At 40.8% G+C, this 17,594-nt stretch overlaps 2 long non-coding RNA genes across 2 annotated transcripts in view; both read right to left on the bottom strand.

Annotated features, from left to right (window-relative positions):
* LOC107985357 (uncharacterized) overlaps positions 1–17,594 on the bottom strand; it is a 53,351-nt gene that overhangs the window by 26,574 nt on the left and 9,183 nt on the right. The gene's annotated exons all lie outside the window — the stretch shown is intronic.
* LINC01737 (long intergenic non-protein coding RNA 1737) lies at positions 14,604–17,527 on the bottom strand. Its single transcript, NR_146479.1, has 2 exons — positions 17,306–17,527; positions 14,604–14,784 (listed from the first exon to the last, which is right to left on the bottom strand). It is a non-coding gene; the product is annotated as a long intergenic non-protein coding RNA 1737 (long non-coding RNA).

Genomic DNA, 17,594 nt, shown 5'->3' on the forward strand with positions numbered 1-17,594 from the left:
ATGCCTGGTTATTGTTTATTTTCTGAGGAGACAGGGTCTTGCCATGTGGCCCAGGCTTGTCTTGAGCTCCTGGGCTCAAGCGATCTTCCCGCCTCAGTACCCAAAGTGCTGAGATTACAGGCGTGAACCACCATGCCTGGCTCACCTGACTTCTTAAGGACTGTCTTCCTGTGTCCCAAGACTCAGTCAAGACATTTCTATGAGGTTTTTCCTGGCTGTTTCTTACCAAATGGGTCTGACCCCTCCTCCTTTTGCACCCTGTTTCTGTACATCCTTCTTTACAACATCCACGCCATCACTCTGTGGCTCTCTGTTTACTTGTAGAGAGCAGGGCCCAGTTTGAGTAGCCAACCTGCCTGAAACCCACCCAAGCTCTGGACTTTAATAAGCAGATACATTCTCTTTTTGCTTAAGGCTGTTTGAATTGGTCTTTCTGCCACTTGCAGAAGAGACTTGATGTACATCTTTCATATCCCAAGGTTCATTCCAATCATGGACCTTACTTGAACATGAAAAAGCTGTACACAGGGTCCTGGAAACCTTCCTTTAAGTGGACATCAGTCAATTAATCAATATCCTTTGGGTATGGTTATTAAACCAGTGACTACTCTACTTAATTGTAAATAGCATCTAATCCATATTTCCTTACACTGTTCTTAAGCAGGTCATGAAAAATTGCCAAATTACTGGTACACTTTCCAGATCTACCTATCAATGCCATCCACATGGAAACGAGAATTTTCTAAGTCACTGGTTCTTAGACCGGGGATGGTTGTCACCACTGATAACACTGCTAGTGCAGTGGGGGGCGTGGGGTGTGGTTCTCATCTATGTGGTTTCTCATGCATCTCCTTGATGGTGAGAATTTTCTAAGACTCTACAAAGTTTCTTAGCTCTCTCCCATGTCTCCTCCACTTCGAAGATAGAGTTCTTTAGCATTTGTGCACATATGAGCCAATTGTCCCTATAGCACTTAGAGACAAGTAGCCCCATGTTGGGAAAGAAAAATAAAATCTTGGAACCCCAATTCACTTTGACAGAAGGAAAAAAAAATAAGCCAAAAGCTGAATCATGCAAGAAGCTGTCTATCCTTTTGTTCCTAAGCAGATAGCTACAGATGAAAGGTTAAATATCCCCACAAATAGCTACTATATATTCACCTTATCTTATACAAAGTGCCACCTCACTGAGCACAAGACTAACTCATAATTGACTATTCCCTTACCTGCTCCTTTTCTCTTGCAACTTGTGGGTTCTGTACTGTGACCATATTCTCCCTCTTTCCTCTTCCACCTGCTTTTCCCCTGTAAATATTGACGCCCTCAAAACCATCTTTGGAAAATGGCATGGAACAGAGATTGCTCCCACAAATTTGTAATCCTTATTTCTGGGCGTGTTTTTAACTTTGGCAAAATAAACTTCTAAGTTAATTGAGACCTGCCTCAGATACGTTTTGGTTTACAATGTTATGTACACACCTGTGTTTCCCATATTCTGTCCTGTCTCAGTCAACTTATTGTATCTTTTTTTTTTTTTTTGTAATGATTGGTTGCATGGCAGATCTACAGTCACTCAGACTCTTGGACTCAAAGAATAGCAGACCAACAGCAGCAATCAGCACCACCTGGGAGCTGTTAGAAATTCAGCATCTCAGGCTCCATCCCAGATTTACTGACTCTGAATCTGCATTTTAACAGGACACCAGGTCATCCGCATGCACGTGGAAGCTTCAGAAACACAGAGTTAAACTTCGCGTAGTGGAACGGCGAGTGGTGTTCTTCTGGGTTGCCTTTGCTAGTTTGCATGTTTTCCAACTGTCCATGACGTCTCCACATCAAACGCCCTCCTGAATAGTGGCTCTCAGCTGAATAATTGGTCGTCTAATGCCTAAGTTGTTAAACAAAACAAACTTTGAAAGTCAGCTTTTTTTTTTTACAAGCCTTAGCTCACAGTGGCCTTTTGCTTCCTGCTGTTTTTCTTACGTATCCGGGCTGTTCTGTTCTGTTTCTGCGTGGCCTTTGCCTTGTATCCACCATTGGTATAGCGTGGTGATATGCTTTCTTTCTTTGAATTTGCTTTAATTTTTAATATTATATATATGGTACCTGAGATATTTTGATACAAGGATACAATGTGTAATAACCACATCAAGGTAAATGGGGTTCCATCACCTCAAGAATTTATCCTTTCTTTGTGTTACAAACGTTCCAATTATACTCTTTTAGTTCTTTTAAAATGTACAATAAATTATTGTTGACTGTAGTACCTTGTTGTGCTATGAATCTTTTTTTTTTTTTTTTTTTTTTTTTTGAGATGGGGTCTTGCTCTCTCACCGAGACTGGGGTGCAGTGGCCTGATCTCAGCTCACCACAACCTCTGCCTCCCAGGCTCAAGCAATTCTCCTGCCTCAGCCTCCCAAGTAGCTGGGACTACAGGGATGCGCCACTACTGCCTAGCTAATTTTTGTATTTTTAGTAGAGACAGGGTTTCACCATGTTGGCCAGATTGGTCTCAAACTCCTGACCTCAAATGATCCACCTGCCTCAGCCTCCCAAAGTGCTGGGATTACAGGCATGAGGCATCCCACCTGGCAGGATACTAGATCTTATTAACTCTATCTAACTCTATTTTTGTACCCATTAACGATGATATGCTTTCTGGACAGGCAGACTTATTCTTTGCTAATGCCTCCTTTTCTTCCAATATCATTTGCAATTGCATGGTTATTTGGCTTCTTATACCACCCTATCCCCACCTGTTGTTTGCTATTCCCCCACCTCTCAATCACAGGTTTATTGTAATTTTGGTTAAATCACTTTAATTGTCTTCATATTGTTAATTACACATCTAATATATTATAGTTCCTTTCTTTTATAATTAATTGCTAATTATGGATTTAACCATCGCTTAAATTTAAGTGCTGAAATCACTTTCATTTTCTTAGGCATTTATGTGCCTCTAGCCAGTTCTTCCCATTTTCTCCGTAGCTTCTCAATATAATTTTCTACATGATGAAGTAAATTTTAATTTTCTTATGATTCTATGTATGTGTAGATAATTCTTCCCATGCCCTCTACAGCTTTTCAGTTAACTTTTCCATGAGATGAGAGAAGCTATCGGTTGTCATTTTGTTCCAGAGACATCCCTCCTTGGAGCCGTCTGGCTTCCTGTTGTAATTGGAACGAATTGACAGACAGGCCAGCGGCCCAGCTGACATTCTGGGGCTTCCTTTCATTATCATCTTGCTTATCAGTGTGGGTCCAATCAGGAGACAGAAAAAGGGGAAGTTTAATATAAGCAATTATTAAACTATTATAGGAGAATAACTATAAAGATGTAAAGAAAACAAAAACGGGTACCCGAGGGTTGGGAGAAAGGCCCTAAGGAGGGGCTGCCTGGAGGGGCGCTTCTTCCCCAGGTTGCATCCTTGCTGAGAAGGTGCGGTTGCAGACTCCTCGATGGCAAGGGAGTTTCTGGGCTACTGGGGCCTGAGCTTCTCTGCCTTCACTTGGTAAGCAGGAATCCGGCCTCTTGAGTGTGAGCCAGCCAAGGCTGGTGGGGGGCATGCAGAGGGAGCGGAGGCCACACTGCAGTCAAAGCCCTGAAGCACAGTGTCTGTCCCGGGGCTGGGCAGGGGGTGGAGGATGGGGACACAGCAACGTGGTTCCTCGGCCCCAATTAGGACCGCAAAGCCTTAGGAGGCTCATGCTCTGGACGTGTGGCTGGGGCAGAGCACCAGCGATGTTTCCACACAGAGCGCACTGCGGGTGGTCAGAGCGGCGGGTGCAGGAAAAGCAAAGCACAGCCACTGCAGCTAGAAAGGACGTTCCCTAAGTGCCCTTCCACTGCCCTCTACTGACGAAGCTTAACATCGTGTTCGCTATAAAAGAGGAAAGCTTGAAAGCTCAGTTCATTTTTGCACAGCAGGTACTGAAGGGTGAATTTAGAGCTGACAGGCCATAAATGCACCCCTGGCACAGACTACCCCTTTGAATACCCAGGTTTCATACACACTCTTCTACACACATTTGACTGTCATACAAAAACCAAACAACTCAGTATTTCTACCTAACAAGTTATGGCTCTCCTTCTTACAAGGGAGGAACTCTCACCTTCCCCCAAGATATAAAGAAGCAAAATCCCAAAAGATGCAAAACCCCAATTACTGTATCCATCACTGCCTCTATTACTCTTCAAATTTAGTCATGGTCCCATGGAATATTCTATTACCTAAAGACTAAATTGTAAAGTTGACCTCCAACAACTTGGATAAAAATTTAAAATAGGAAGGAGATATTTAAAAATGGTTAGTATATGTCATGCATACATACTATGCATTGTATGCATAGTAAACACATGCATACAAAAAGCAAAGAGAAAATACGCAAAGCTTCTACAGTCCTCACTTCTGTAGTTGGTCATGAGCTCATGGTTAGTATCTGTGGCTTCTTTCTTCCACAGTCCAGTCTATAACTTTCTTTTCCTCCTGGCCCAAATCTCAGCAGCTCAGGATTTTCTACCTGGTAGAATGACTCAAACTTTCATTCCCGAAGGGTCTGAGTCTCCAGCTGTGCTGCTTTTTCTTTTGTTGCTACATAGTCCATTAATCTCTTAATTTCTTTTGTTGCTACATTGTCCATTAATTAATGGACAAAAAATTTCTTTTCTTGCTGCATTGTCCATTGATTAATGGAAATGTTACTACATTGTCCATTAATTAAAAAGAAAATGAATTTCTTTTGTTGCTACCTTGTCCATTAATCTCTACTGCTGGACAGGGGAGTACTAAGAGATGACTCGGTGACTTCCCTTGGGTTCCAGACACGGTCCTCCTTGCCTCCATTGCATAGCAGCAGCCCAATCGACCCAGGTAATCAGGATCAATCACTTCAGCCAATCAGCATAATGTCATCAATGTGATGGACCCAGTGGGATGTTTTGTGGAACATCAAGATGATCAAGATCTCTGTGGACTACATGAGAGCAGAGAACTGGGAAGTTGATGTCACTCTGAGGCAACACTGTGAAGATATACCATTGGACCAGACAGGTAAAAGCAAACTGCTCTGTTAGCCCTTGAACACTGGTATGGAGAAAGGGCCAGGTCGGTGGCGTCATACCCAGTGCCAGAAGCTGTGTTGATTTGCTCCAGTAAAGACACTGCCTGGGGACAGCAGCTTCAAGTGGAGTCTCACGATTTGATTTAGTTTAAGATGGTTCAGTCATCCTCCAGGATCCATCTGGCTCTGCACAGCCCAAACAGGTAAGTTAAATGGGGGTGTGATAGACAGTGCCCTCCTATTTCTTTCAAGTCTTTGTTGGTGGCATTAACCTCTGCAATTCCCCCAGGAGTGCAGTATTGTTTCTATTTTACTATTTTGGTAGGAAAAAGACATTACAAGGGCTTTGACTCAACATTTCCTACCAGCATGTCCCTTGTTGCCAGGTACTCAGGAACTAGAGAAATAGCCACCGAGTGGGCCTGCTGTGAGTTAGACTCCATTGATCACCTGACCACCATAAGCCTTTGCATTGACTGGTGGGCCACAGTGTCTTTTTTTTTTTTTTTTTTTTGAGACAGACTCTCCCTCTGTCACCCAGGCTGGAGTGCAGCAGCACAATCTTGGCTCACTGCAACCTCCCCTTCCTGGGTTCAAGTGATTCTCATGCCTCAGCCTCCTGAGTAGCTGGTATTACAGGTGTTCACCACCATGCCCAGCTAATTTTTGTATTTTTAGTAGAGACGGGGTTTTGCCATGTTGGCCAGGTTGGTCTCGAACTCCAGACCTCAAGTGATCTGCCCACTTTGGCCTGCCAAAGTGCTGGGATTACAGGCATGAGCCACCACGCCTGGCCCACGGTGTCTTTTGAGTGAGCTGACATTTGGCACCACTTTTCCCCTGGAGTCATTTGCTGATTCTAAAGCTGTACCTAAGAGGCTGAGAAGCTGAAAGAAAATGCAGCTGAAAGTCTGAGAAGCTGAGTAGAACTATCAGCACTCCTATGGGGCAGGGAGAAAATATTAAAACCCACCAAGGAGGAGAGGCCCCAGTAAATCCCAAGGCTTGCAGTTGGGACTCCCAAAAGGGTATACCATTGAAGGAAGGAAAAACTGGAAATAAACCTTCCTTCTAGCATCCAATCAGCTCAATCCATGATTGCTGCCGTCTGCCCCAAACTGTCTGCAGAAACAAAAGCTAATTCTTTCTGGGAGAAGATAACATTATTCAATGCCTCAAATTATCACTCCACTTTTTTTTTTTACTCAGTTAAATGTAAAGACATGCAATAATACAAGTATTAGGGGAAGGGATGATTTCTTTCAATGTGGTGTTAGGCTGGTTGCAATCCACATGGTTAAAAAAGTAAATTACGCCACATAAAAAAAATCAGTTTCATATAGACCACAGATGTAATGTGGAAAGGAAAACAACAAGCCTACTAGAGGATCACATGGAAAGCAATTTGAAGACACTGATTTGGCAAAGATTTCTTAGAACATCATAAACATGAACCACAAAGAAAAAGATTGACAAACCATATCACATTAAAATTAGAACTTCTGTTCATCAAAAAATGATGATAAAGAGAATGGAAAATGTAATATACAGTGTGGAGAAAATATTTGTGATAAAACTGATAAAAAGATTGTGTCCAGAATATATATATTTTAAAGTTCTGATATGCCAAAAAAGAGAAGCTCAAACAGCCTAAAATAAAAATGAATAAAAGGCCTCAATAGGAACTTCACAATAGAGGACATTCAAATAGTTAATAGGCCTATCAAAATGTGCATAGTAATCAGAAAAAATGCAAATTAAAATCACAATGAGTTCCTACAGCAAACCCACCAAAATGGCTCAAATTAAGAAGACTGACCCTACCAAGTGAAAATGTGGAGTAAACAAAATACTCATATGTTGCTTGTGGGAGGCTAAGTTGGTACAACTTGGAAAAAATATTGGGCAATATTTTCTAAAGCTGAACATATGAATGCTCATGACCCAGCAAGTCCATTTTAAAGTATATATCTGTGGTAGGCAGACAAATGGTTCTCAATGATTTTAACATCCTAACCCCAGCACTTGTGAATATGTCACCTTACATGGCAAAATGGACTTTGCAGACGTGATTAGGTCGAGGATCATGAGATGGAGAGATTATCCTGGATGATCCTCCTGGACACTAAATGTGATCACGAAGGTCCTTATAAGGGAAAGAAGAAGGCAGGAGAGTCAGTGTGAGAGAAGGCCATGTGACAGTGGAAGCAGGGTTTGGAGTGATGCCATTGTTTTCTGGAATGGGCCACGAGTCAAGGAATGTGGACAGCCTCTAGAAGCTGGAAAAGGCATGGGAAAAAATCCTCCCCAGACTCTCCAGAGGGAATGCAGCCCTGTCAACACCTTGATTTTACCTCAATGAGACCCATTTTTGGACTTCTGACCTCCAGAATTATATTAAATTTGTATTGTTCTCAGTCACTAAATTTGTGGTAATTTGTTACAGCAGCAATAGGTAACTAATACAATATCTAGCTGAAATAAGTACATATGTGTACTGAAATACATCCGAAGAGTGTTTCAAGAGCATTATTTGTTAAATACAAAACTGTAAATCATTCAAACTTCATTCACAGTGGAATAGATACATTGTAGTATAATCATTCAATAGAATACCACATAGTAATGCAAATGAATAACTACTGTTGGACATAACAGTATACAGTGTGGATGAATCCAGTGGTGTACGTAAATTTTTAATGACTGTCTTTGGATGGGGGGTTGTATACATACATGTATGTTTGTGTGCACACATGTGTGTGTATATATATATGCTTATTATAAATGTTACTAATATAAAGGATGTATAAGATACAATTTACAAAAAATAAAATATATAATACTTATTGTAAATTCCATATTGCCAATTGATTCTCAATCGATTTTGTTGATTTTTGCCAAACTCTTGAACCTGTAGTTCTGTCATGAATGTTAGTTGATAGCTTTATTTACGTTAAAGACTAAGACAAAAGACAATAAAGATTTATGTCAAAACTTCTTTCATTTGTTGGCCGGGCACGGTGGTTCATGCCTGTAATCCTAGCACATTGGGAGGCCGAGGCAGGCAGATCATCTGAGGTCTGGAGTTCAAGACCAGCCTGGCCAACAGGGCGAAACCCCGTCTCTACTAAAAATACAAAAATTAGCCAGGCATGGTGGCAGGCGCCTGTAATCCCAGCTACTCGGGAGGCTGAGGTAGGAGAATTGCTTGAACCTGTGAGGCGTGGAGGTTGTGCCCCTGCACTCCAGCCTGGGCAAAAGAGCGAGACTCCATCTCACACAAAAAAAAAAAAGAAAGAAAAAACAAAACAAAACAAAACAAAAAAACTTTTCAATGACTTCAGCAAAAAGAGAGAAAAACTTCTCTCATTTGTCAAACTATCATCTTGAACTGGATAGTATATTTGAATACTGGAAAAATAATTCCTCAATTTTTTTGTGTACTTCAGTGTAATGGCCACAGACACAACACATTTAAGTTTAATCTGCAATATTAACATTTTTTCACCACTTTCTTAAGTCTAGACAATCAAAAAAACAATAAATCCATACCTTTTTATTTATAGCATTTTCTGATTTCTATGATGTAAAGATTCCTACTGTGGCCAATTTTAAGCTATCATGGTGACACAATTGTAAACAAGGTCAGGAAGAAACACACAATAGCACATCATCATATAGTATTCCACGCAATTACAACAGGTAGAAACAACCCCAAAGCAGAGGGCATACTACAGTGTAGTTAGAGAAACAGGAAGTAATCAGTTTGAGTATTTATTACCTGTGTTTTTAATTGTGATTTAATTATGTTTTTATAATTTAATTTTTCTAATAATTATGTTTAACAAATAAATTTCAAAATTTCTGAAAATGTAACCATCAGCTCTTGTGAGTTGGTACAAAACATACTCCTGAACACACATTGGACAAAACTTTAAAAATAACATTGAGTGAAATTAGCTAGATGTAAAAAAATACTGTATGAGTTCATTTATATAAAATCCTAACAGAAGCGAAGCTTAACTCTTATGTTAGATGTCAGGATAGTGGCCTAGCTAAGCCCCATCTACATCAGCTGACCCCCAGGCACACAGGTGAACCCAGGGTAGCAGAGCCAATGGGCTGAGCCCAGCCTGGATCACTGACTCTCTTGCTAACTCACACATCCGTGACAATAAGTGACTGCTCATCCATGATTACAAGTGATTGCTGTTTTAAGCCACTGAATTTCGGGAGGGTTTGTCATGTGGCATTTTTCTGGCAATAGCTAGCTAATAGAGAAATTGTATGAAGGTACAATTCTTCCCTTTGGGGAGGAAAGTGAGGAGGGTGGCCAGAAGGGGATGCAAAGGAGACTCCTAGGTGCTGGTAATGTTCTACTTTTTGACCTGTGGCTGTTACATGCATGTATTCCCCTTGTGATAACTCACTGAGTTATACTTACGATTTGTACTGTTTTCTTTACTCGTGTTTTGCCTCAATAAAAAGGTTTATTTAAAAAATACAATTGTCAGATTAATTCATGAAGAAGTGCTCAATTTCTCTGGTAATCAAAGATAGTGAAATTGAAATCTTTAAATACCATTTTCCACCTAACTGGTTGGTAAAGATTTTTAACGTTGTTACTCAGTGTTGAGAGATTGCGGGAAAATGAGCATTTTAGCATATTGATAGTGTGATAAGATGTCGGAGGGGTGATTACATATTAGTACAAACTTTTTGGAGTGTTATTTGGCAAATTTATAAAACAATTAGCAAAATATCTTTTGACTTGCAATCTTACAGTTGGAAGTTCATACTAAGGAAATAATTATAATTATTTGCATAGATCTAGTTATTGATATGTTCATCATAGCATTGCTTTTGATAGTGAAAAATACAAAAATATGAAATGTTATAAAATTGGGTTTGGTTATATAAATAAGGTATATTCCCATAAATGTGGTCATTTTATATGATGAAAAAAATGGGTAGTAAATTTCACAAAAAGCTGTTTGTGATCTCTTACTTAATGAAAAAGAAAGCAGTTCATTAAACAATGTGCTGTATACAATGGTATACCCTGGCCTTTGTAAAAATAGCTACATATTGTATAGATAGATTTACATGTCTAGGTATTATAGATAGGTGGATGGTAGCCATGTAAGTAAGCAGGTAGGTATGCAGGTAAGTAGGTAGGTAGGTGTGCAGGTAAGTAGGCAGGTGTGTAGGTAAGTAAGTAGGTGGGCAGGTAAGTAGGTAGGTGTGCAGGTAAGTAGGCAGGTGTGTAGGTAAGTAGGCACTAAGTAGGTAGGTGTGTAGGTAAGTATGCAGACATGCAGGTAAGTAGGCAGGTGTGTAGGTAAGTAGGTAAGGTGTGTGGATAACTAGGTAGGTGTGCAGGTAAGTAGGTAGGTGTGTAGATAAGTAGGTAGGTGTGTAGATAATTCAGTAGGTGTGTGGCTAAGTAGGTAGGTGTGCAGGTAAGTAGGTAGGTGTGTGGATAAGTAGGCAGGTGTGTAGGTAAGTAGGTAGGTGTGTGGATAAGTAGGTGGGTGTGTAGGTAAGTAGATAGGTGTATGGATAAGTAGGTAAGTGTGCAGGTAAGTAGGTAGTTGTGTAGGTAAGTAAGTAGGTGTGCAGGTAAGTAGGTAGGTGGGCAGGTAAGTAGGTAGATGTGCAGGTAAGTAGGTAGGTGGGCAGGTAAGTAGGTAGGTGTGTAGGTAAGTAGGTAGGTGTGTGGATAGGTAGGTGTGCAGGTAAGTAGGTAGGTGTGTAGGTAAGTAAGTAGGTGGGCAGGTAAGTAGGTAGGTAGAAAGCTATGAAAGTCTGGCAGGAGACACACCAAAGCATGAATCGTTTTTATAACTGCATAGTGGAACCATAGGTGATTTTCATTTTCTACTCTGATCTGTATTTCCTAATGTCTTCTCCCATGTGTGTGCACTTTGTTTAATTAAAAGTTACAGAAACAAGCACCACCACCAACCAAAAAGACTCTAAACAGTTTCATATCAGGTCAAATGTTGCTGCCAAATGATTCATGAAAAAACCTTTTAGAGCTTTCTGGATATTGTAATTTCAGCTAAAGATAGGTGAGCTACAAAATATTTGCACTGGAACTGTATTACCTATTTCCTCTAACAGATCGGGTGGCCTATAGCACATGTCCACTAGGGTATTGTTTTTGTCATTTTTTTCTTCAATCCTTACCCCTATGCTCCACCAAGATTTCTGCTGGCAGGTTCGTGGATATCCAGACGTATTATAGAACCCAATCTTGCTACTTAACTGTCTGGTTCTTTTGTGTGGAACAATCTTCTCCATCCCTGGATTCCATTTTAAGCAATATCTTCCAAATCTCTGTGATAATTAGATTTCCCACTCCAGCTTATAAGTCGGATTCACTTGATTTACTCTGCATATTCTACACGATGGAGTATAAATGTCCAAGGTCATGTCTTATGCCTAGCTCCCTTCCTAACCGCATGCTCATATGAATCACCAGATACCCTTTTCTTTGCCAGAACTGCTGTCTTCAGTAATAATTGGGTTCATCTAGGTTTCCCCTTTCTTGCTCACATTTGCTTTAAATCGCTGTTAATCAGATTCACTAGACTTTAGGGAAATAACAATACAACTGTTATCAAAAGGTGTATCAAATATTTATATCACACCATGGAGTTTGTTTTGTTTTGTTTTCAGAAAGAAGGAGTCTTACTATTTTGCCCAGTTTGGACTCGAACCCCTGGGCTAAAAGGATCCCCCCATATCAACCTCCCAAGCAGCTGGGACTACAGGTGTTAGCCACTGTGCCCAGCTACTAGCATTTGTTTTTTTAAATAAAAGAACTCCCTCAGTACTCTCATGGATTATAATTATTAATAAACACATAAATTCAGACAATTTAGTTTTCAAATATCTGTTTAAATAAAGGGAGGATGTTGTTACAATTCCTGAATGTTAGAACTGGTGCAAGAAGGGAAAGCAACAGTTTAATTGTCCACATCAAGGCACTGAGGGTGCCAGGATGGAAAAGGAGGTTCACGGATGAGTGCTCATTCATTCTCCTTCAGACCACAGCAATGTTGCTGCAATTACCTTCCCCAGGCACAATTCTGCATAACGGTGCTTTCCATTACAAAGCTACTCACTTGAATCATTTAAATAATGCAAAAAGTATACAATTTACCTATGTAATAATGTTATTTATAGCATGCCTTTCATCCATGGATATGCAAGAGCTTTAAAAGCCACACTTAATACAGACTTACAGGTGCTTCCAATCTGACCCATGCAAGCAGGCTAATATTGCTGATGTCATTGAGTCTATAGATGAAAAGATGTGAGAATATCTTCATATATTAATATATTCCATGTCTTCATATTCTTAATATATGCCAACCTGTCCTAAGCTCTTTCCCAAGATCACACACCTCATTCTTTAAATACATTTTAACCCACTTTTGATCTATTTGACATTCAAACCTTTGGAAGCAATGCCAGAATATGGTATTTCAAATGATTTTATGTGAGGACTCTTTTTTTTCTTCTTTTTTTAGACAGAGTTTCACTCTTGTCACCCAGGCTGGAGTGCAATGGCGCAATCTTGGCTCACTGCAACCTCTGCCTCCTGGGTTCAAGCGATTCTTCTGCCGCAGTGTCCCAAATAGCTGGGATTACAGGCATGCGCCACCATGCCCGGCTAATTTTGTATTTTTAGTAGAGACAGGGTTTCTCCATGTTGGTCAGGCTGGTCTCGAACTCCCAACCTCAGGTGATCCGCCCGCCTCAGCCTCCTAAAGTGCTGGGCGTCAGCCACCACGCCCGGCCATAAGGACTTTTTTTGTGAGCTGAAGATATGTGGATTAGGGAAAAAATACTAAGATATTTAGGTGCATTCTTAACATTTCTATGATTAAAAAGTCAGCCTTGAGATGGGAGGATCACTGGAGCCCAGGAGTTTAAGGCTGCAGTGAGCTATGATCGCACCACTGCACTCTGTACTGGGCCACAGAGCAAGACCCCATTTCTAAAAATAAAATAAAAATTTTAAAAGTCAGTCTTGTATTAATGGGTATTCTTTTTTAGTTTTAACTTGCAAATCTCTCTAAGAAATTAACGACTTTTAGACATGTTTGGTAGACTTCATAAGTTTCAGATGCAACATCATAACCTTCAAAAGATCTGTGCTTTGAAGATATAATAGTTACTCCATGTTACAGTTTGGAGGAAGATAGGTGGAGGTAACAGGTGGGGTGGACAGAGCCTAAGTGACTTGCTCAGGGTTACCAACATGATCGGGGCTTCCAGGGTTTTAAAGTTTAAAATTTCACGTGGATGACATGTTCTATCCTAGAATGTAGAGGGCAAAGAATGGGAAGGTAACTATAGAAACAAACAGCTTAGCTACTAAAAGTGAATATTAAATAAATTAAAATAAGTAGTTTGGAAGGTCATATCTATAGGTTAAATGAGAATTTAGGACAGTGCAGAAGAATTCCCCACCATGATCCTCTCCCCATCTTTTAGTCTATCCCAGTGGAGCTTCAGTTTTATTGTGCTCTCCAGCATTCATTCCAGAAATTTGCAGGAAGTTGTCTTAGAAATGGGATGGAAGCCAGCTATGTTATCTCTCCAAGCTTCCCCAGTGTGACCCTGATTTTATCCTGGAGCCAATTTTATACATTCCTTTCTTTCCTCATCCCATCTGCCCATCATAAGCTGCCCCTGATCTCCACTCATCATGGGTGGCTAAACATTATTGCATAATCGGTCCTGGCCATAAAACTAGAAGCACAGCCACATCTTCAGGATCATAGCAATGCCAAAGTGAACATTCCTATGCAAATACCCTGTTGAACATGTGCAAGTGTGTGTAGAATGGGTTTCTTCAGCTCTACTTTCAACGAAGGGGTGAGGATAAGTACTACCAAGAGGGTTACAACGGAGGACGGAAGATCTGGGTCCAAGATCCTGCTCTACTGCAGCAGCACTGAGCTGGCAGAAAGCAGCAGGCAAACACCTCCTTTGCCTTCTTATTAGGGAATGTGGAAAGGCACCGCACAGGGAAGCGAGGCAAAGCAAGAAAAAGTGAGCAGCTTCCCTCACAGCAGCAACCAAGTCACACTGCAGATGGTTAGACAGGCAGGCCTGCATTCAAGATCAAGTTAACATTGAGCAGAGACTGCCTTCCACCTGCAAACCAGGGAAAGGAAAGGAAATGGGCTTTGTTATCATTGGCCTTATTGACCAGTGGCTCTCCCTTTTTTATCTCCAGAACTCATTTGTTGTCCAGACACCCTACATCTGCCTGTAATTGAAGCCAAAGGTAGAAGGTTAGAAGACCGGCAGCTTAGGGACATAAGCAGCGGGGCTCTTGCCTGGATACGGTGCCAGAGACTTGCTGTCTGCTCTTTTCTTCTACCATCCTATCCCTCTCCCCAAGGGCTCTACAACAATAGGCTTTTAGTGGGATAAAGAGCCTTAGAACCATCCAAATCCATCCTAAACTATAGGTGTATCAGTCAGGGTTCTCCAGAGAAGGACCACCAGTAGAAGATATATAAAAAGAGTTTTTTATAACATATTGGCTCATGCAATTATGGAGACTGAGAAGTCCCATGATCTGCTGTCTGCAAGCTGGAGACCCAGGAAAGCCAGTTGTGTGGTTTGAAGGCCTGAAAGCCAGAGACCTGGTGGTGTAGATTCCATTCCAATTCTAAAAGCCTGAGAACCAGGAGAGCTGAGGGCAGGAGAAAATGGATGTTCCAGCTCAAGCAGTCAGGCAGAATTAATTCAACTTGCCTCTACCTTTTTGTTCTATTGAGACCCTCAATGGATTAGATGATGCTATCTGCCTTTCTCAGTTCACCAACTCAAATGCTAACCTCTTCCAGAAATAATGTTTAAACGGCTATCTGGGCATCCTGTGGCCCAGTCAAGTTGATGGATAAAATCAACCATCCTAGTGGGTAGAACAAATACAACTCCCAAGAGGGAGACAGGGGCAATCTTTAAGGACAGTGCTTTCTCTGGAGGAAACTCTGTACTAAGTTTGTTCAATACAGGGTGGTTCCTGACTTGGATTCATGAGAAGCAGACCTTGAGTCAAGGATTCATATGCAAGTGATGAGTTATGGAAGTGCTAATGAATGAGTGGGGCAGCCAGAAAGGGAAGAGAAGTCAAGGGAGAGTGTACTTTTAGGCAAAATCCTAGCTTTAGCTTGATGATGCAGAGGAGCTTTGAAATGTACATTACACCTCCAAGTATGTCCCAACTCAAGGGAAAGAGCTGGGTTTTCATAACACGTCCCACCTGTCATCTGCTAAGGCCCACCCCAAAGGAACCTAAATTCCCAGGCAATTCTGGCTGTCTGCTGGTGTGAGCAAAGTGACTCAGGACTGTAGTCTCAAGAGAGCCACAGGTGTGGCCATCAGGAAAAAAGCATATAGAAGTCAAAGGATGGCCACAGACACAGCCAGAATCCAAGGGAATCTGGGTAGGAGGAGGGAGGAAGCACCACCTTAAAGAAGAGTATGATGGAAAGCAGGAAAAACGGAATCTATTCCACACACATATTTGCACATGTTCAAAAGGGTACATGCCCAAGAATGTTCATTCCAGCACTGTTTTTAGATAGCAAAGAAAATAAAAATAAAAAGTTGGAAACCACCTAAATATCCACTAATGGTGGGCTAAATAAATCAATTACATGTTCAGATTATATTATTCAGTGAATACAAAAAACATATGAGATTGTTATGCTCTTCAAGCTATATTATTAAATAAAAAACTCAAATTGCAGATTAATAATCTTATGCAAAATATTTTTTAAAATTTAAAATTAGATGTGTAAATAAATTTAATTTACACATACCCATGTACAAAAATGCCTAGAAAAGGGTCTAGAAAAGTATATGCCAAAGTGAGGAGACAGTAGGGTTGCTGTGTCAAAGGGGACTCGTAACATTTTATTCAATAGACTTGATTTTTAGAATATTTTCCAGTAACTGTGTTTATGTATTATTCATGTAGTTACAAACAAAATTGCCTTTGTAAAAGCAGGTCTGACATTTTGAAACGTGGATCTGTAACTGATCTATGAATCACAGGAAAAAATCAAAATTTCTCCATTCCATCCTTACATTTTTGTTGTACCATGCCCTTGACAGAAAGTGGAAGTAATTTCTAAAGGCACCCTGACCCCCAGGAATCAAGATGGCCAAAAGGCATAATAATTCTCTGTGTTCAGTTGACATTTTTTTATGCAACTAAGTGGACTCTTATCTTTCAATTCTTTAAGGTTCAAAGGTCTTCCATAAACCTGTTTTGGCAGGAAACATCAAGCTTTGCAAGATGCACATTATATGACCCTCAAGGATGGAGCCTAGGACACTGTTTCACATTTGGGGTCTTCTCGCAGCCTCTGGTCCATGTTTTCCTCAAGATGGAGGCTGACCCAGTGTTGGTTGGCAGGCTGCCAAAGATTCTTCAGGGACATTGGCACTTTGCTTCCTTAAGGGTGCTAGAATACTTACATAAATAAAGAGCTTACTTCTCAAATATATGTAAATCTTAGGGTATTTTGATTTGGATGTAGCTTGACTTAGTGTAATGTATTCTTGGGTTTTTAGGTCTTAAGATTTATATTGAGAAGACAGTGGCAAAGCATAGAGCATATAATAATCTTCAAACTGGTGACAAGGAAGGGTAATGAAATGAAATAATAGAACCAAGTAAGAGAAACCACAAGATCAAAAAGAAGGAATGGGGCTGGGCACGGTGGCTCACGCCTGTAATCCCAGCACTTTGGGAGGCTGAGGCAGGTGGATCACCTGAGGTCAGAGGTTCAAAATTAGCCAGGTGTGGTGGCAGGCACCTGTGATCCCAGCTACTCAGGAGGCTGAGGCAGGGGAATCATTTGAACCCGGGAAGTGGAGGTTGCAGTGAGCTGAGATCAAACCATTGCACTCCGGCCTGGGCGACAAGAGCGAAATTTGGTCTCAAAAAAAAAAAAAAAAAAAAAAGAAGAAGAAGGGATGAAGAGTAGATAAGTAATTTTGTAGAAACTGAGAGAGGATTCTCCCAGAGATGAAGTTACTATATTGTTTTATTCCTTTCTACTGTCTTCTTTGCTAAAATGTTCCCACCTCCCAACTTAATAAAGAAATCCACAACCCTGTCTCATGCATAAGTAGCTATGACCCATCTCTCTCCTTTCATTCCCAATCAGTAGTTGTGAATGGTTTCCCACGATCATCACCTTCACAGCTATTCAGCTCTTCCACTTGGCTCCACTCCACATTGCTTACTAAGGTCATTAGTATCTTTACAGTTTCAGAATCAGATGGACATTTTTTATTCTCTTCTCACTTGAGAGGCAGTGTCATGTCATGAAATGAACCTCAGCTTGCTCCTTTTTCGAGATTTGACTTAAATGTCACCTGTTTCAGCAAGGCACATGCTGACATGTCTTAGAAGTGTTGGGTACAGTTTTCTCTTTGTCTTTTTAGTACCGACACATACATTCCATTTAGAACTTTTGTCATTGT

This window comes from Homo sapiens, chromosome 1 (assembly GCF_000001405.40).
Source record: "Homo sapiens chromosome 1, GRCh38.p14 Primary Assembly".
Classification (NCBI taxonomy): Eukaryota; Metazoa; Chordata; class Mammalia; order Primates; family Hominidae; genus Homo; species Homo sapiens.